Here is a 19055-nt window from a genome sequence, read left to right as displayed (position 1 = left end):
TAGCTTCCGATTCACACAGGCAGCTGAGACTGAGACCGGAAGCTTGGGCTGCACGGAGCGGGCGGAGCCTGGGAAGGCCAGACTTCCTGGTCACGGTAATGTCTCTTCCAACGTGGAGCCAGGACGCTCCGCCTTTGGGGAACGCTGGTGCAGGGCTTGGGACTCAGGGCAGTGCGGTCGAGCCCCTACCCACTCCGGAGAACCCCCGGCCCCGCCAGCGCGGCCGGGCTGCTGGCTCCCCTGGCGTCCGGTCGAGGCGCACACCCGCCTCGGTCCGACTGTGACCCCGGTGAGCTTCGGACCATTCTGCCCCGCGACCTCAGCCTGAGAAGACCCGGGGCCCTGCCAGCTCCCGGGACTATAACTTCAGTTGAGTCGCTACTTCCGCGGATCCTGAGCTGGGGGAAAGTCGAGGGGTCCGGAAGGCTCAGGAGGGATCGTGGACTTCAGGGTTCCCAGGCTGCTGGCGTGGAGCACCAACACCTTACATGGAGGGGTTTCTGCTGCCAGAGCAGGCAAGGCCCTCCCCTCCCTAGTTTCTCACTGACCCCTTCTGGGTGTCCTCACGCAACTACACCAGCCACTGGTCTCCGCACTTTCCAGAGGGCCTGTGGGCAACTACGAAGCCGAACACTGCCAACCCATCCACCCAGCATCCCTGCAGCATGCACAGAAAGGTTCACCCAGCATGGTGTGCAATAGGAAACTAAGCTCCTATCTCAGCCTATTTCTGGATTGATGCACGCTGTGCAAAATGCCGTGGCAGCAGGAAGAGGGCTGCACATAAGCAAGGGGTTCTGGAAATTAAGACGTCTAGAGGAGAAAGCGTGAGACATCCCGTGATGGCAATGCCACCGCCACCCCCTTGCCTAACCAAACCGTCCTCTGCTCCGGGCAAGTGGCCATCTGGGAGCATTAGCCAGGGAGGCACTCATTGTGTCTTGCCATCACGTCCACAGAGGGGGCCCCACACCTTGTCATACTCATTTGACAAACTCTCCAGAACTGCTGGTGCCAGCCCCCACAGGTCACCTTACAGGGCAACTCCAGACTCCACAATGTGAGTCTAATATGTGTTCCAAGAATCAAACAGGATGAGCACCAAGACATAAAGCTTAGAAATAGCAAGACTGCTTTTCAGATGCACATGCACGCTTGTTTTCCAAAGGAATTAGATTTATTCTGCATGAAAACGGAAAGTGTTCACTCCCCAAGCTGAGAGCTGAGGAGGTGGCACTGTGCTGAGTCCAGCCAGGGCTTGGGTCCTGCCCCAGTCTGACAGGCCTGCTGAGCCTGGGAGGGGCCCAAGAGAAAGCCCCTGCAAAGCCCCGAAACCTACATGCTAGGTAGCCTGTGCTGGAGTCACTCAAAGGGGCCTGTGGCTGTCAGTCATCCTTGCTTCCCCTTGGCGGCGGTGAGTTCTCCCTTTCCGATGATGATGATGACGATGAAGTATCTGCTGGCAAGCCCCTTGTATCTATCCGGCAGAACACGCATTGGGTGAACATTTCAGAAGAGGTGTCACTCTTGAAGATGGAGAAAGGCCTGTCACATCTTTCGCACTGACATGGGATATTTTAAAAGAGCAGAAAGGAGGTGCTGGTCAGAGGTGATCCAGGCATGCCATTAGAATTCTCCCAGCTACCTTGAGCTGGGGCAAGGCAAGGGTTCCCCTCTCTGGAATCTCTTTTTGGTTTGTTTGTTTGTTTTTGTTTTTGTTTTTGAGACAGAGTCTCACTTTGTTGCCCAGGCTGGAGTGCAGTGGCACCATCTAGGCTTACTGCAACCTCCGCCTCCCAGGTTCAAGCAATTCTCCTGCCTCAGCCACCCGAGTAGCTGGGATTACAGGCGTGCACCACCACATCCTGCTAATTTTTGTATTTTTAGTAGAGATGGGGTTTCTCCATGTTGGCCAGGCTGGTCTTGAACTCCTGGCCTCAAGTGATCCACCCACCTTGGCAGCCCAGAGTGCTGGGATTACAGGCGTGAGCCACTGGGCGCAGCCCCTCTCTGGAATCTCTAACCCCACAAAGGCGGAAATTGCAGAGAGAATGAGCACAGGCTGCTTCCCCACCAATGGCTAAGCAGGTCCTGCCAGCTCATGTCTCCTGCCAGCTCATGTCTCCTGCCAGCTCATGTCTCCTGCCATGGGGGTCCTGAGGACATGCGTGGCAAGCCCCTTGACAGTTGGGAGGATGGGGGTGAGTGTCCCGCCCCATCCATTGTTCTGTGCCGAGTAAAATTGTGGGACTAAGAGGATGACTCCCTGACATCCTGAGAACACCCAACTTTTACAGAACCATGAGACGCAAGTAGGCAAGATTTCTGAACAAAGCAGGGGTGTGAAGCAGATTGATGCAGGTGCTAGGTGCCCTCCTGCGTCCCTGAGCCTGTTTCTGGCCAAAGCTCACAGAGTACACTGAAAACAAATGGCACAGCTCACCCATCACGTCTGCTTCCCACTAACAAGCAAGAGTGCCATGGGATGAGGTCTCCTAGGCCATGGGCAGAGGCCCCTCAGGGGTTCCCACCATGCATGGTCCCCTGGAGAAGAGCCTGCAAGGTGGCCGCGCCCCTGCCCTGGCTCTCCCAGCCCCTGGGCTTTGCTGTTCTGCCCACTCCAGGACACTGAGGCCTGCTGGAGAGGGGGGTAAACCCTACCTGGGGCAGGCCTCGGGGAAGCCTGGCCTCAGGCTTCTCATGTTGATTGATTCAGAGCAAGTCAAATGCAGCAGGCTCATCCTTGCTTCAGCTTCAGGTAGGCCTCTTTCTTTTCCTTTTTTGCAAGAAATAGATTAGATCCCAGTTTGGGTGCGGATAGCTTGCGCCTGTAGTCCCAGCACTTTGGGAGGCTGAGGCGGGCGGATCACTTGAGCTCAGGAGTTCGAGACCAACCTGGCCAACATGGTGAAACCCCGTCTCTAATAAAAACACAAAACAATTAGCCAGCGTAGTGGTGGGCGCCTGTAGTCCCAGCTACTCGGGAGGCTGAGGCAGGAGAATCGCTTGAACCCGGGAGGCGGAGGTTGCAGTGAGACGAGATCGCGCCACTGCACTCCAGCCTGGGCGACAGAGCGAGACTCCATCTCAAAAAAGAAATAAAAAGAAAAAAGGAAATTTGATCCTTTACCTACCTTATCCTACATTCCTACATCCCACGGTCCAACCCCAGAACAACAGGGCTCACAGAGGAGGAGGCTCCCAGGCCTTGCCCTAGGTGGCCAGTGAAAAACAAGGGCCATCACTGCTCTGTAGCAAGTCAGCTTTCACAGTTTAAGGGCCAAACAGGGACAAGGTCCATGTGAGTCCCACCCCTCACACAACTGCCTTGCAGTGCGGCTCCCAAATTAGCCATTCCCAGAAGCAGTGGCTCCCAGCCGAACCTTCTGAGAGGAGGCCAAGTCTAGGCAGCTCCAGGATTCCCAGGGAAGGACTTAAAGGGGCCCAGCCTGCACTCCAAGGCAGCAGCCAGGTGTGTGCACAGAGAGGCTCCAGCGGAGAGTTGCCTCCACTGCCCAGGGACAGCCTCTGTGGCCAGCCCCAGCTGTGCCTGGTGAAGCAGAAAATATGCTGGCCTGACCACCAAGCTCTTGCACTAGAGAAGCGCAGGCACCTAAGCCTTTTGCATGGGAAGTGGGGCACTGGGGACCTGCCCAGGGTAGGAGGCTGACGCAGTGCCCAGCTGTGTACCCGGCCATTCCTCCACTGACCAGTGCTCCTGCAGGTCTCATCCCCTCCAAGCCCCCTCACTCCACCCCTCCGATGCACCAGGCTGGCTCCTGCCTCTCAGGCTCTCTCTGCATTGGCTGTTCTCTATGCTGGGAAGTTCTTTCTTCTCTTTTTTTTTTTTTTTTTTTTTTTTTTTTGAGACAGAGTCTCGCTCTGTCACCCAGGCTAGAGTGCAGTGGCGCAATCTCAACTCACTGCAACTTCCATCTCCCAGGTTCAAGGGATTCTCCTGCCTTAGCCTCTCGAGTAGCTGGTAGTACAGGTGTGCACCACCAAGCCTGGCTAATTTTTTTGTATTTGTAGTAGAGACAGGACTTAACCATGTTGGCCAGGCTGGTCTCGAACTCCTGACCTCAGGTGATCCGCCTGCTTCAGCCTCCCAAAATGTTGGGATTACAGGCGTGAAACACCGCATCCAGCTGGAAGTTCTTTCCTCTAAATATCTGCATGGCTCACCCCCTCACCACCTTCAAGTCGACACAGCTGTCAGTCCTCAATGAGACCTATCCTGACCACCCTTTAAAATCTTGCAACCTCCAGCACTCCTACTCCTGTTTGCTATGTATTTTTCTGTCAATTACTTATCACCATGAGACTTACTACACATTTTTCTTGTGTCTTTCCTCTTTGTTTCCTCTCTTAGAATTTAAGCTCCCCTGGGGCAAAAATGTCAGTCTGTTTGTTCACGATTGCATCTCCAGGTGCCCAAAGTTCATTCAAATGATAAATTAATTTATAGAGGGAACTAACGAAAGCCTTCACTGGGCTTAATTTTACCCAATACCAACCTGTTTCAACTTTAAGCCCACGGCCTTTTTGTACTTGATTACCAAAGGAATTTCATCAATTTCTTCAATATTCCACAGTCTCATGGTCCTATCCTAAAACAAATAGCAAACCAGCGGTCACAAAACAGGCTGTGGTACATCCATACAAAGGAATGTCATTCAACAATCAAAAGACATGGGCTGTCAAGGCACAAAAAGACAGAGGAACCTTCAATGCACATTGTTATGCCATAGAAGCCAACCTGAAGAGGCTACAGAGTATAATTCCAACCATATGACATTCTGGAAAAGGCAAAACTGAAGAATATAAATAGATGAGTCATTGCCCAGGATTATAGGGAAGAGGAGGAGGGATGAATAGTAAAACTATTCTGTATGGCCAGGCGCGGTGGCTCATGCCTGTAATCCGACCACTTTGAGAGGCCAAGGTGGGTGAGGTCAGGAGTTCAAGACCAGCCTGACCAATATGGTGAAACCCCGTCTCTACTAAAAATACAAAAATAGCTGGGCACAGTGGCGTGCACCTGTAGTCCCAGCTACTTGGGAGGCTGAGGCAGGAGAATCACTTGAACCCAGGAGGCGGAGGTTGCAGTGAGCCAAGATCGCACCACTGCACTCAAGCCTGTGCGACAGAGTGAGACTCTGTCTCAAAACAAACAAACAAACAAAACTATATGACACTGTATTGGTGGATATATGATATGCATTTGGCAAAAATATACAGTAACACAAAGCATGAAACTATAAAACCATGGACCTTAGTTAATAATAGTTCCTGAAAGGAATGCAGTCCTGTTGATACCTAGATTTTAGCCCAGTGAGAGCTTATCAGACTTCTATCTTACAGTACTGTAAGATATTAAATTTATGTTGTTTAATGTTTAAACAGTACAGTCTGGTAACTTATTATAGCAGCAATAAAAAAATGGATACATTGAGTATGTTACATTTCTTGATTCAGCAGTTGCAACTAAATATCCTGTGGGAGAACAAAGGGGTCATTTTTGTAACAGATGTGTTGACTTCATGCTGCCTAAAGCTGTCAGATCTTACCAATAAGCATACTTCCTACAGTATAGCAAGTGGTTTGTCAAATCATGACAACAAAAAACATCCTCCCAGCTCTTAGATACTTTAATTCAAAAGTTAGTTTCAAGCTGGGCATGGTGGCTCACACCAGTAATCCCAGCACTTTGAGAGGCCAAGGCAGGCGGATCACCTGAGGTCAGGAGTTTGAGACCAGCCTGGCCAACATGGCGAAACTCTGTCTCTACTAAAAATACAAAAATTAGCCAGGCCTGGTGCTGCATGCCTGTAATCCCAGCTACTCAGGAGGCTGAGGCAGGAGAATCACTTAAACTTGGGAGGCAGAGTTTGCAATAAGCCGAGATCGCACCATTGCACTCCAGCCTGGGTGACAGAGCGAGACTCTGTCTCAAAAAAATAATAATAATAATATTTTTTATTTAGCTGGGTGTGGTGATACACACCTATAGTGTGTTTGGGGCCACTTTTCACCTTCCTCGAAATGTACAGAAGCACTTAATGAGATTTTTTCTTTCTTTTTTTCTCTTTTTTTAAGACAGGGTCTTACTCTGTCACCCAGGCCCGAGTGCAGTGGCATGCCCTCAGCTCACTACAACCTCCGCTTCGCAGGCTCCAGTGATTCTCCTGCCTTGGCCCCCCGAATAGCTGGGACTACAGGCATGCGCCACCATACCCCACTAATATTTTGTATTTTTAGTAGAGATGGGGTTTGGGCACGTTGCCCAGGCTGGTCTCAAACTCCTGAGCTCAGGCAATGTGCCCATCTCAGCCTCCCAAATTGCTGGCATTACAGGCATGAGCCACCGTGCCCAGCCAAGATTTTCAATTAGAGAAATGGAAAGAGATATCTTCCTTAAACATGTGCCTACAAGATGGCTATTATCATTTCTGACCATAGAAAAGATGTCAAAATGGGCCGGGCACAGTGGCTCATGCCTGTAATCCTAGCACATTGGGAGGCCAACGCGGTCGAATCACTTAAGGCCAGGAGTTTGAGACCAGCCTGGGCAACATGGGAAAACCCCGCCTCCGCTAAAAATACAAAAAATTAGCCAGGCATGATCGCGGGCACCTTGTAATCCCAGCTACTCGGGAGGCTAAGGCGGGAGGATCGCCTAAGCCCGGGAGGTTCAGGCTGCAGTGAGCTGAGATCATGCCACTGCACTCCAGCCTGGGCGATACAGCAAGACCCTGTCTCTTTAAAACATAAATAAATGGGCTGGGCGCAGTGGCTCACGCCTGTAATCCCAGCACTTTGGGAGGCCAAGGTGGGTGGATCACCTGAGGTCGAGAGTTCAAGACCAGCCTGACCAACATGGAGAAACCCCGTCTGTACTAAAAATACAAAATTAGCCAGGCGTGGTGGTGCATGCCTGTAATCCCAGCTACTCGGGAGGCTGAGGCAGGAAAATCACTTGAACCCGGGAGGCGGAGGTTGCGGTGAGCCAAGATTGTGCAATTGCACTCCAGCCTGGGCAACAAGAGAGAAACTCCATCTCAAAAATAAAATAAAATAAAATAAATAAATAATGCACATTTTAGATAGATATAGCCTATACCGTGAATTTATAGTGCAAAGGACTTCATTGACAAATACCTGGTCTTTCAAAGCAAGCTTATAGATTTAGTACATTGAACACTTTTGGAGTGCTGGGAAATAAAGCCTACAAATCAAAAAACCTGTTGTTGCCAGTAAGTAAAATCTTTTTTTTTTTTTTTTTTTTTTTGAGACTGGGTCTCACTCTGTCACCATCAGTCAGGCACAAGGGTTCCAGTTGCTCCACATCCTTTGCCAACATTCATTATTTTCTGAGTTCTTTTATTATAGACCCCCTAATAGATGTGAAGTGATACCTCACTGTGCTTTTGATTTGCATTTCCCTAATGACTAATGATGTTGAGCATCTTGCCATATGCTTCTTGGCCATTTGTATATCTTCTTTGGAGAAATGCCTATTCGAGTCTTTTGCCCATCCTTGAAATGGGTTGTTTGTTTTTTGTTGTTGAGTTTTCGAAGTTCTTTATGTATTCTGCATATTAATCCCTTATCAGATACATGATGTGCAACTATTTTCTCCCATTCTCTAAGTTGTCTTTTTGCTTTCTTGACAGTATCCTTTGATGCACAAAAGTTCTTAATTTCAACGAAGTTTAGTTTGTCTGTTTTTGCTCTCATTGCCTATACTTTTGTTGTCATATCCATGAAATCACTGCCAAAGTCAGTATCATGAAGATTTTCTCCACTGTTTTCTTCTAAGGGTTTTATAGTTTAGCTCTCAAGTTAAGGTGTTTGATCCTGAGTTAATTTTTCTATACAGTATTAGGTAAGGGTGCAATTTCATTCTTTTGCATGTAAATTTCCAATTTTCCTAGCACCATTTGTTGAAAAGACTGCCCTTTCTCCATTGAATGGTCTCGGCACCCTCGTCAAAAATCCCTTATTTCTGGGCTTTCTATTCTAAGCCATTTGTCTATATGTCTGTCCCTATGCCAGAACTACACTGTTTTAATTACTGTAGACTTGTAGTAACTTCAAAGTCAGAAAGTGTGAGTCCTCCAATTTTCTTCTTCTCCTTCTCCCTCTTATTCTTCTCCTTCCCCTTCTCCTTCTTCAAGATTCTTTTGGCTATTCGGGGCCCCTTGCAATTTCATATGAAAATGCTGTTGGAATTTTGATAAGGATTATGCAGAATCTGTAGATTACTTTGAGTAGTACTGACATCTTAATGATGAGTCTTCCTATCCATGAATATAGGATGTCTTTCCATTCATTCAAGTCTTCTTTAATTTCTTTCAGCAATACTTTATAGTATTAATTGTGCCAGTCTTTCACCACCTTTGTTAGATTTATTCCTAAGTATTGTTTTATATGCCATTGTAAATGGAATTGCTCTTCCTTTTCAGAGTGTTCATTGCTGGTGTATAGAAACACAACTGCTTTTTTGTGTGTTGATTTTGTACCCTGAAACTTTGTTGAATTCATTTATTAGCTTTAGTAGCTTTCTTGTTAATTCTTTGGGATTTTCTATATTTACGATCATGCCACCTATGAATAGAAATAATTTTGGGGCCGGGCACGGTGGCTCATGCCTGTAATCCCAGCACTTTGGGAGGCCGAGGCGGGTGGATCACGGGGTCAGGAGTTCAAGACCACCCTTGCCAACATGGTGAAACCCCATCTCTAGTAAAAATGCAAAAATTAGCCGAGCATGGTGGCACATGCCTGTAATCCCAGCTACTCGGGAGGCTGAAGCAGGAGAATTGCTTGAACCCAGAAGATGGAGGTTGCAGTGAGCCAAGATCATGCCACTGCACGCCAGCCTGGGTGACAGAGCAAGACTCCATCTCAAAAAAAAAAAAAGAAAGAAATCATTTTGGCTGGGCATGGTGGCTCACACCTGTAATCCCAGCACTTTGAGAGGCCAAGGTGGGCAGATCACTTGAAGTCAGGAGTTCAAGGCCAGCCTGGACAACATGGTGAAATCCCGTTTCTACCGGGAGAATTGCTTGAACCCAGGAGATGGAGGTTGCAGTGAGTCGAGATTGTGCCACTGCACTCTAGCCTGGGTGACAGAATGAGACCCTAGAAAGAAAGAAAGAGAGAAAGAGAGAGGAGAGAGGAGAGGAGAGAGGAGGAGAGGAGAGAAGAGAAAAGAGGAGGGAAGGCAGGAAGGAAGGATTGAAGGAAGGAAGAAAGAAAGGACAGAAGGAAGGAAGGAAGAGAAGGAAGGAAGGAAGGTTGGGAGGGAGGGAAGGAAAGGAAGAGAATTTTACCTCTTCCTTTTCAATTTGGATGCCTTTTATTTCTTTTTCTTGTCTGATAGCTCCGGCTAGCACTTCCAGTACAATATTGAATAGTAGCAATGAAAGTAGGCATCCTTGTCCTGATCCTGATCTTAGGGAAGAAAAATTTTAGTCTTTTACCACTGAGAATCATGTTAGCTGCAGATTTTTTCTAAACACTCTTTATCATGTTGCGGAATTATCCCTTTATTCCTAGCTTTCTGGGTTTTTTTATTATTATAATGAAAGGGTTTTGAATTTTTTCAAATGCCTTTTCTGTGTCAGTTGAAATGATTGTATAGGGTTTTTTTTCCCTTTGTTCTATTAATGTAATATATTACATTGATTTTATGTTGAGCCACCCTGTATCCCTGGGATAAATCCCACTTGGTCATGGTAAATAATCCTTTTAATGTACTGTTGGATTTTATTTGCCAATATTATGTTGAGCATATTTGCATCTATATTAATATGAGATATTGGTCTGTAATTTTCTTTTATTGTCATGTTTGTTCTTGGCTTTGGTATCCAACTTGTGCTGGCCTCATAGAATGAAGTCACTGCTTTACATTAAATATAAGTAATATGTATTTAATCAATCCTATTTTATTTGTGTTCTCTTTTTTAAACAGTCTTACCTCTATATATCTTAAGAATATATAATATAACCTACAAAATTTATTATTTATTTATTGGAGACAGGGTCTAGCTCTGTCACCCAGGATAGAATGTAGTGGCATGATTGTGGCTCACTGCAGCCTCTGCCTCCCATGCTCAAACCATCCTCCCATCTCAGCCTCCTGAGTGAGTAGCTGGAACTACAGGTGTGCGCCACCACTCCTAGCTATTTTTTGTATTTCTGGTAGAGACAGGGTTTCACCATGTTGCCCAAGCTGGTCCCAAACCCCTGGGCTCAAGCAGACCTCCCACCTCTGCCTCCCAAAGTGCTAGGATTACAGGCATGAGCCACTGCGCCTAGCCAAAAGTTTAAATATTCAATAATTTTTTTTTAAAGAGACAGGGTCTCACTCTGTCGCCCAGGCTGGAGTATAATGGCATGATCACAGCCCGCTGCAGCCTCAACCTCCTAAGCTCAAGCATTCCTCCCATCTCAGCCTCCCAAGTAGCTGGGCCTGGAGTAACTGAGAATATAGGCTCATATCACTATGCTTGGCTAATTTTTTATAGAGACAGGGTTTTGCCACGTTGCCTAGGCTGGTCTCAAACTCCTGAGCTCAAGCTATCTGCCTGCCTTGGCCTCCCAAAGTGCTGGGATTACAGACGTGAGTGGCCACCACACCCAGCTTTTTTTTTTTTTTTTTTTTTTTGAGACCACAACCAGTCTCACTGTTTGGCCCAGGCTGGAGTGCAGTGATGCCATCATGACTCACTGCAGCCTCGACCTCCCAGGCTCAAGCCATCCTCCCACCTCAGCCTCCCAAGTAGCTGGACCTGGAGTGGCTGGGACTACAGCCACACACCACCACACTCGGTTAATTTTTTAAAGTTTTTCTGTAGAGATAGCGTCTCACTATGTTGCCAAGGCTGGTCTCCAACTCCTGGACTTAAGCGATCCTCCCACCTTAACCTCCCAAAGTGCTGGGATTACAGGCATGAGCCACCATGCCCAGCCAAGATTTTTTTTAAAGTAACACTAAAGTACTGTATCAAAGAATAGAAAGAAACATAATTTTTTTTTTTTTTTTTTTGAGACAGAGTTTCGCTCTTGTCACCCAGGCTGGAGGGCCATGGCTTGATCTCGTGATCTCGGCTCACTGCAACCTCTGCCTCCCGGGTTCAAGCAATTCTCCTGCCTCAGCCTCCCGAGTAGCTGGGATTACAGGCACCTGCCACCACGCCCGGCTAAGTTTTGTATTTTTAGTAAAGACGGGGCTTCACCACGTTGGCCAGGCTGGTCTCGGACTCCTGACCTCAGGTGATCCACCCGCCTCGGCCTCCCAAAGTGCTGGGATTACAGGCGTGAGCCACTTCACCTGGCCAATATTTTTATATTTTTCTCAAACATATTTGTTTAATTTGCCCTACTGTTAATTACTACTAATTGTCGCTGTTCACTAGTCCTGTTGTTTTGCTTAAATAATAATATTCATGGAACAAAAAAGTAAAAAATATAAAATAATGTATAATTTCAAGTAAACCTTTACTTCTTATTTTTATATTAAAGTAGTAACATATAGGCATATAATCTTTTGCTATATATTGTATTATTATGGGTTTGTTGTTTTTTTTTTCTGATATGTTTGTATTCCAAGTTGGCTCTCTGAAAAGTTGATCATGCTAGGCAGCGCCTCTCCCACAGTCTCCTGGATTTAGAAACCTCTAGCCTAGAACATGACATGCTCAAATAAAGGGGTCCCCGACCCCCCAGTCTGTGGCCTGTTAGGAAATGGGCCACACAGCAGGAGGTGAGCAGGGGTGAAGCTTCATCTGTATATATAGCTGCTCCCTGTCACTAGCTTTACCACCTGAGCTCCACCTCCTGTCAGATCAGTGGCCACATTAGATTCTCACAGGAGCACGAAGGCTATTGTGAACTGTGCATGCAAGGGATCTAGGCTGTGTGCTCCTTATGAGAATCTAATGCCTGATGATCTGTCACTGTCTCCCATCACCCCCAGATGGGACCATCTAGTTGCAGGAAAACAAGCTCAGGGCTCCCACTGATTCTACATAATGGTGGGTTGTATAATTATTTCATAATATATTACAATGTAATAATAATAAAGTGCACAATAAATGTAATGCTCTTGCACCATCCCAAAACCATCCCCCGCCCCCCAACCATGGAATAATTGTCTTCCACGAAACTGGTCCCTGGTGCCAAAAAGGTTGGGGACTGCTGCTCTAATATGGGTGGAGGGCGGAGTAGGTCCCCACTTCTCCGGGGTTCACACCTGCAGGACAGCTGTTGGGATATCCTGGGCTGGCTGCTATGTGCCAGTGGAATGGGAATCTCAAGATGCAGTGCTGCAGGAAAGGGAGACCCCCCCGGACCTTGGGCAGTGTCAAAGGCTTATCCATGAGTTGATGCTTTCCCTTCAAGTCCCCCATTGGCTCCATTGCTCACTGATCCAGCCAGACTCTTTTTCCAACAAAGTTCAAATGTCAACGGTACAGACACAGAAATACCTGGAAACTCCAAACTCATCGCGTTTGCGCATAGAAGGACATGCTGTCCACATTCCCAGGCAGCTCCGTGAACACGATGGCCCGGTCAGGTACAGCTCACCGAACCCACCCAGGAATTTTATACTTGGCAATAACTCTTCCACTATCACCAATCCTGGCGAACGTGATCGATATTGTAAGCTTGACCACTTTTACCTTGGAAGCAGACAGGATCCATTTCTTGTTGTTGCTAATGGCAACATCCATCACCCAGTCATTATGGCCCTGAAGAAATATCAAATTTTAATGAAAACGTGGAGAAAATAATTTTGAAAGAACAACAAAAACAAGCTGGGTGTAGTGGCTCACACCTGTAACCTGCCTTTTGGGAAGCCGAGTCGGGAGGGTCACCTGAGCCCAGGAGGTGGAAGCTGCAGTGAGCCATGATTGCACCACTGCACTTCAGCCTGGGCAACAGAGTGAGGTCCCATATCTAAAAAAACAACAAAAAGTCAAGAACCCAGTGTTGCTTACATTTAAGAGTAGCTGGCTGAGTGCAGTGGCTCATGCCTGTAATCTCAGTACTCTGGGAGGTTGAGGTGGACAGATTGCTTGAGTCTAGGAGTTTGAGACCAGCCCGGGCAACATAGTGAAACCCCATCTCTACTAAAAATACAAAATATTAGCCGAGCATGGTGGCATGCGCCTGTAATCCCAACTACTCAGGAGGCTAAGGTGGGAGAGTCACCGGAGCCCGGGGAGGTTGAGGCTGCAGTGAGTCATGATCATGCACTCCAGCCTGGGCAACAGAGTGAGACTGTCTCAAAAAAAAAAAAAAAAGGAAAGAGCAGAGCAGCTCATTGTACTTCCTCGGTTTCATCAACAACATTTAGGGTGGAATACAAAGTGTAAAGACATGTGATATATGTACATTCTATTTTTTTTGTTGTTGTTGTTTTTTGGGGTTTGTTTGTTTGTTTGTTTTGAGACAGAGTTTTGCTCTTGTCGCCCAGGCTGGAGTGCAATGGTGCAATCTCCACTCACTGCAACCTTCACCTCCTGGGTTCAAGCAATTATCCAGCCTCAGCCTGCCAAGTAGCTGGGATTACAGGTGCCCATCACCATGCCCAGCTAATTTTTTTTTTTTTTGAGACGGAGTCTCGCTCTGTCACCCAGGCTGGAGTGCAGTGGTGTGATCTCGGCTCACTGCAAGCTCCGCCTCCCAAGTTCACGCCATTCTCCTGCCTCAGCCTCCCGAGTAGCTGGGACTACAGGCGCCCGCCACCACACCCGGCTAATTTTTTGTATTTTTAGTAGAGACGGGGTTTCACTGTGTTAGCCAGGATGGTCTCGATCTTCTGACTTCGTGATCTGCCTGCCTCGGCCTCCCAAAGTGCTGGGATTACAGGCGTGAGCCACCACACCCCACCTAATGTTTGTATTTTTAATAGAGATGGAGTTTCACCATGTTGGCCAGGCTGGTCTCGAACTCCTGACCTCAAGTGATCCACCTGCCTCAGCCTCACAAAGTGCTGGGATTACAGGCATGAGCCACTGCGCCCTACCCATTCTATATTTATTTATTTAGTTATTTTTATTTGACACAGGGTCTTACTCTGTCCCCCAGGCTGGAGTGTAGCAGCTCAATCATAGCTCACTGCAGCCTCAACCTCCTGGGCTCAAGTGATTCTCCTGCCTCAGCCTCCCGAGTAGCTGGGACTACAAATGTGTGTGCCACTGTGTATGGTTTTTTAAAATAGTACTCGGGTGTTTAGCAAGATTGGGGGAGAAATATTATATTCCCAGCTGGTCTCAGGTTTTCATTTGCATTCTTTGTTCTAGGAAATACCCCTCAGAGGCCCTGTAAGTGAGGGGGCTTTTCGCTTCCAATAACTGCAAACTCGATCCACTGTGGCTTAAGCAGAGAAGGAGTGGGGTGTTTTCTTTGGGTACATAGGAGCTCAGAGCAGGCCGGGCGCGGTGCTCCATGCCTGTAATGCCAGCACTTTGGGAGGCCGAGGCGGATAGATCACGAGGTCAGGAGATCGAGACCAGCCTGGCTAACATGGTGAAACACCATCTCTACTAAAAAATAAAAATTTAAAAAAAAAAAATTAGCCGGGCATGGTGGTGGGCACCTGTAGTCCCAGCTACTCAGGAGGCTGAGGTAGGAGAATGGTGTGAACCCAGGAGGCGGAACTTGCAGTGAGCCAAGATCATGCCACTGCACTCTAGCCTGGGCGACAGAGCGAGACTCCCGTCTCAAAAAAAAACAAACAAAAAAAACAGCTCAGAGCAGATAGCTGCCATTGCTGCCTCAGACACTGAATGATGTCTGGGCTTTATGCCAGCATCTCTGTCCTTCTTTGGCCTTCCCCGTATGGAAAGAGGCAGAAAGTGAGGCCATAGTGTGGTTAGAGAAAAAGGAATCAGAGGGAAGGTTAAACCGCTTAGTGTAATTAAAGGACAGGAATTTGAGGATGGGAGCACAGAGAAAGAGGAGAGAAGAGGAGAGAGAATAGAACAACCGGCTCTGTCACCCAGGCTGGAGTCCAGTGGTGCAATCTCAGCTCACTGCAGCCTCTGCCTCCCAGGCTCTAGAGATTCTTATGCCTCAGCCTCCCAAGTAGCTGGGACTACAGGTGGGCATGACCACACCTGGCTAATTTTTGTATTTTTAGTAGAGATGGTGTTTCACTATGTTGGCCAGGCTGGTCTCGAACTCCTGACCTCCAATGATCCTCCAGCCTCAGCCTCCCAAAGTGCTGGGATTACAGGCATGAGCCACTGTGCCTAGATGACAGAGGGACTTTAAGCACAGAGAGGTTTAACATTCCATTTTAATCCGTTTATTTGCTGTGAGGAAACTCGCTTTGTCTCCCCAAGTCCTAGGAGAAGACAGCTCAGATAGACCAGCCCCAGGGACCTGAATATGGGCTGCTCAAGGACACATGTCTACTTTGTGTCCCTGGGAACAGAAAGACCAAGAATCAGGGATGCACGCATTCACAGCCAAAGGTGACAGTGAGATCGTGAAACCAGGGAGTATGCAGAAATCCTGGGGTGTGGGGCCCCTTGGGGGAACAGGGGCACAGCATGAGGCAATTGTGGGTTCTTGCTGTGTTGGATAACACATCCCCGTATCATAGAGCCACTCTGAGTTGGGGCTCCTCTCATCCTCTCACTTGTAGCCCAGAGCATTCAGTTGACATCCCCATTTTGGAACCCCAAGCTTTCTGTGCATGCCTCACTAGGGCATGCGTCTCTCTTCAAGGTAATTTCTGTTTTTTGTTTTGTTTTGTTTTGTTAGAGACAGAATCTCAGTCTATCGCCCAGGCTGGAGTGCAGTGGCACAATCTTGGCCCAGTGCAACCTCCGCCTCCCGGGTTCAAGCGATCCTCCCACCTCAGCCTCCCAAGTAGCTGGGACTACAGGTTTGCACCACCACACCCGGCTGATTTTTGTATTTTTAGTAGAGACGGGGGTTTCACCATGTTGGCCAGGCTGGTCTCAAACTCCTGACCTCAGGTGATCCGCCCACCTCAGCCTCCCAAAGTACTGGGATTACAGGAGTGAGCCACAGTGCCCAGGCCTGCACAGTAACTTCTGCTGTTCTTAGACACTCCCACCTCAGGGTTTTTGCATCAGCTGTTCCATCTGCCTGGACTGCCCTTCTTCTTCAAGATCCCCACTTATGTAGTCCTTTCTGTTCTCAGCTCAAACACCTCCTTCTCCAGGAAGCTCTGCCCATGCAATGTGGATGGGTCCCCCGCCTCTGTCCCCATCATGTCACCCTGTTGTGGTTTCTCCATTTCACTCCTCACAGTCGGTGGTGTGTTTGCTGGCTTCCTGTCTGTCCTTCATCAGCCCACAGAGGCATCAAGGCCTGTGTCACTCACAGCTGTGTCCCCAGCAACCAGCATTGAGCACAGGAAGGACTCGGGAGGGAAGTTCAGATCCTCAATCTCATGCTGGCCACATGTACCTTCAAAGAGAGCTTCCGGTAGCCTTCTGCTACATCCCAAATAGCCACAGTCCTATCAAACCCTCCAGAAATGAGAAAAGAGCCTGCAACAGAAAATGAAAGGGTGGAGATGGGGGTCAACTTTCCAAGCCAAGTGAGCCCAAAGCCAGCTGAAGATGCCTTGGCGAGGCACCACCTCATCTCACTCTGACAACACTGAAACCCCTTCCTGGAGTGGCTCCACGACCCCAAGCCAATTACAGCTGATTCTTATCATTTACAGTAGTCATGTTCTATGACAGGGGTCCCCAGTCCCTGGGCCACAGACTGGTACCAATCCATGGCCTGTTGGGAACCAGGCCACCCAGCAGACAGTGAGTGGTAGGCAAGCAAGCCAAAGCTTCATCTGTATTTACAGCCACTCCCCATCGCTCGTATTACCACCTGAGCTCGGCCTCCTGTCAGATCAGCTGCAGCATTCGATTCTCACGGGAGCATGAACCCTATTGTGAACTGCGGATGCGAGGGATTAGGTTGTGCACTCTTTATGAGAATCTAATGCCTGATGATCTGTCACTGTCTCCCATCACCCCCAGATGGGACCATCTAGTTGCAGGAAAACAAGCTCAGGGCTCCCACTGATTCTACATGATGCTGACTTGTATAATTATTTCACTATATATTACAATGTAATAATAATAAAAATAAAGGGCACAATAAATGTAATACACTTGGGTCATCCCGAAACCATCCTCCACAGCTCCCATTTGTGGAAAAGTTGTCTTCCATGAAACCTGTCCCTGGCGCCAGAAAGGTTGGGGGCCTCTGCAGTTTTTGCAGACACTGAATTAGTGAATACTGAACCATCGCTCCTAGGGGAAATACAGGGTCAGTTTCCTGCGAGCTCTGGTCACATTCTCATCAGTTGATCAGTACGTAACTTTGTTTTATGTGTGTTTCTGTTTAAAGACACCTTATTGCATATATACTGTTGATTTGTTTACATTGAACTCACAACCAACAGCTGTAACTCATGCCTGAATGGATGCATGCATTTTCCCCATCATAGCACTCTCGCGCTTAGGAACGGCAAACAGCACTTCGGCACTGTGGTTAGGGATCATTTTATTTGTTATTTATTTATTTATTTATTTATTTATTTATTTATTTATTTATTTATTTTTAGAGATAAGGTCTTGCTCTGTCACCCAGGCTAGAGTGCAGTGATGCAATCAGCTCACAGCAGCTTCAAACTCCTGGTCTCAAGCAATCCTCCCACTTCAGTTACCAAGTAGCTGGGACTACAAGCAGGTGCCAGCACACCTGGCTAAATTTTTTTTTTTTGTTTTGGTAGAGATGGGGTCTCACTATGTTGCCCAGGCTGATCTCAAACTCCTGGGTTCAAGCAATACTCCCGCCTCAGCACCCCCCCAGCACTGAAATTAAAGCTGTGAGCCACCACACACGGCCAAGGGAGCCATTTTACACAGCAAAATCACTAACAAAAAGCAAAAGAAAGCCCAGGTGTGGTGGCTCACGTCTGTAATCCCAGCACTTTGGGAGGCTGAGGCAGGCAGATCACATGAGGACAGGAGTTCAAGACCAGCCTGGACAACATGGCGAAACCCCATCTCTACCAAAAATACAAAAATTAGCCAGGCATGGTAGTGCGCACCTGTAATCCAAGCTACTTGGAAGGCTGAAGCAGGAGAATCGCTTGAACCCAGGAGGCAGAGGTTGCAGTGAGCCAAGATCGCGCAACTGCGCTCCAGCCTGGGCAACAGAGGGAGCAAAACAAACAAACAACAACAAAAAAAAATGGTGGCACTAAATAGACCACAAAAAGGACATTTTACCACGTGGGAGGTGAAACAAGAAGGCAGAGTGTTGCCTTGTCCAACCTCAGCTGGGAGGTGACTTAGATTTTTTGCTGCTCTTCACATCTGTGAGTGACCTTGAAAGTGCCATGAATGTTGACTTTAGGTTTACAAATAAATATCAGCAAGTAGGTGACTTCACAAATACAGAATCAGGAATAATAATGATTAACTGCATGTGATTCTTTTTTTTTTCTTTCTTTTTTTCTTTTTTTGAGACAGAGTCTCACTCCGTCACCCAGGCTAGAGTGTAGGAGCGCAGTGGCACAATTTTGGCTCAACTGCATGTGATTCTGAACCCCATAAAGCCAAGGACAGAAGCTGGCAGGGTGCCTCACAGTGGGACTTAGACAAGGGGTGCTGCTGAAGAGGGAAAGTTGCCCAGAAGCACCCTAGTGCTTCTCAAGCCAGGCCCCAGTGGCATGTGTGCCAGCTGAGGCCCCCAGACACACAGAGCAAGCCCCACTTCTCACCAGGATAGGGGAGCATATGTTTGGCTCCTGAGTGTCAAGAGCACCCACTTCCCTCCCTGGAGCTGGCTAGCCGCGGTGGCTTCCTGTCACTGCCCCCATTCACCTCTATGTCCCTTTATCTGGCAACAGCTCCCAATTTCCTGTGGGGAAACACTCCTTGCCTACTCTTAGTCCCTCTGCATCAGGGGGTTCTGACCCCAACCCTAGCTCTGCAGGTGGGCAAGTCACCCAGACCTGGCCAATCAGAGGCTTTCGTTGCCCCCTA

General features: G+C 48.0%; 1 protein-coding gene and 1 long non-coding RNA gene across 7 annotated transcripts in view, besides 6 other annotated features; one reads left to right on the top strand and one right to left on the bottom strand.

The window, feature by feature from the left end:
- LOC124904691 (uncharacterized) lies at positions 80–17187 on the top strand. 2 transcript variants are annotated; one of them, XR_007067228.1, is made up of 2 exons: positions 80–2758; positions 16303–17187. It is a non-coding gene; the product is annotated as an uncharacterized LOC124904691 (long non-coding RNA). The 2 variants fall into 2 exon arrangements; XR_007067227.1 differs by lacking the exon at positions 16303–17187 and adding an exon at positions 4373–5455.
- Positions 102–261: a silencer, noted in NCBI's record as "silent region_10491". NCBI's record gives its function as "represses an Ori minimal core promoter by ATAC-STARR-seq in GM12878 lymphoblastoid cells {active_cell/tissue: GM12878}" and the evidence as "EXISTENCE:reporter gene assay evidence [ECO:0000049][PMID:35858748]".
- Positions 244–1008: an enhancer, noted in NCBI's record as "H3K27ac-H3K4me1 hESC enhancer chr19:33666856-33667620 (GRCh37/hg19 assembly coordinates)". NCBI's record gives its function as "activates a minimal SCP1, AML or CMV promoter by ChIP-STARR-seq in naive H9 embryonic stem cells {active_cell/tissue: H9 hESC(naive)}" and the evidence as "EXISTENCE:reporter gene assay evidence [ECO:0000049][PMID:30033119]".
- Positions 462–531: an enhancer, noted in NCBI's record as "active region_14441". NCBI's record gives its function as "activates an Ori minimal core promoter by ATAC-STARR-seq in GM12878 lymphoblastoid cells {active_cell/tissue: GM12878}" and the evidence as "EXISTENCE:reporter gene assay evidence [ECO:0000049][PMID:35858748]".
- WDR88 (WD repeat domain 88) overlaps positions 1159–19055 on the bottom strand; it is a 43686-nt gene continuing 25789 nt past the window's right edge. For 2 of the 5 annotated variants that reach the window (NM_173479.4, XM_047438166.1), the window contains 4 exons: positions 16462–16544; positions 12693–12761; positions 4518–4610; positions 1159–1562 (listed from right to left, as the gene is read on the bottom strand). In NM_173479.4, the coding sequence (NP_775750.3) occupies positions 1386–1562; positions 4518–4610; positions 12693–12761; positions 16462–16544 (422 nt within the window). In that variant the 3' untranslated portion in view covers positions 1159–1385. Of the gene's footprint in view, positions 2922–4517; positions 4611–12692; positions 12762–16461; positions 16545–19055 lie in introns of those variants that run through there. The other 3 variants (NR_135565.2, XM_011526449.3, XR_007066581.1) reach the window with 3 other exon arrangements.
- Positions 15533–15702: an enhancer, noted in NCBI's record as "experimental_51151 CRE fragment used in MPRA reporter constructs". NCBI's record gives its function as "activates a minimal promoter by MPRAs in K562 erythroleukemia cells, with activity observed for the non-introgressed 19:33652247 or rs8113143 variant allele {active_cell/tissue: K562}" and the evidence as "EXISTENCE:reporter gene assay evidence [ECO:0000049][PMID:34662402]".
- Position 15617: a transcriptional cis regulatory region, noted in NCBI's record as "Neanderthal adaptively introgressed variant 19:33652247 (GRCh37/hg19 assembly coordinates) or rs8113143 in the experimental_51151 CRE". NCBI's record gives its function as "modulates activity of the experimental_51151 enhancer by MPRAs in K562 erythroleukemia cells {active_cell/tissue: K562}" and the evidence as "EXISTENCE:reporter gene assay evidence [ECO:0000049][PMID:34662402]".
- Positions 16046–16455: an enhancer, noted in NCBI's record as "active region_14440". NCBI's record gives its function as "activates an Ori minimal core promoter by ATAC-STARR-seq in GM12878 lymphoblastoid cells {active_cell/tissue: GM12878}" and the evidence as "EXISTENCE:reporter gene assay evidence [ECO:0000049][PMID:35858748]".

The sequence above is a fragment of the Homo sapiens genome, chromosome 19, assembly GCF_000001405.40.
Source record: "Homo sapiens chromosome 19, GRCh38.p14 Primary Assembly".
Lineage (NCBI taxonomy): Eukaryota > Metazoa > Chordata > Mammalia > Primates > Hominidae > Homo > Homo sapiens.
This window is presented reverse-complemented; position numbering and strand designations above follow the sequence as displayed.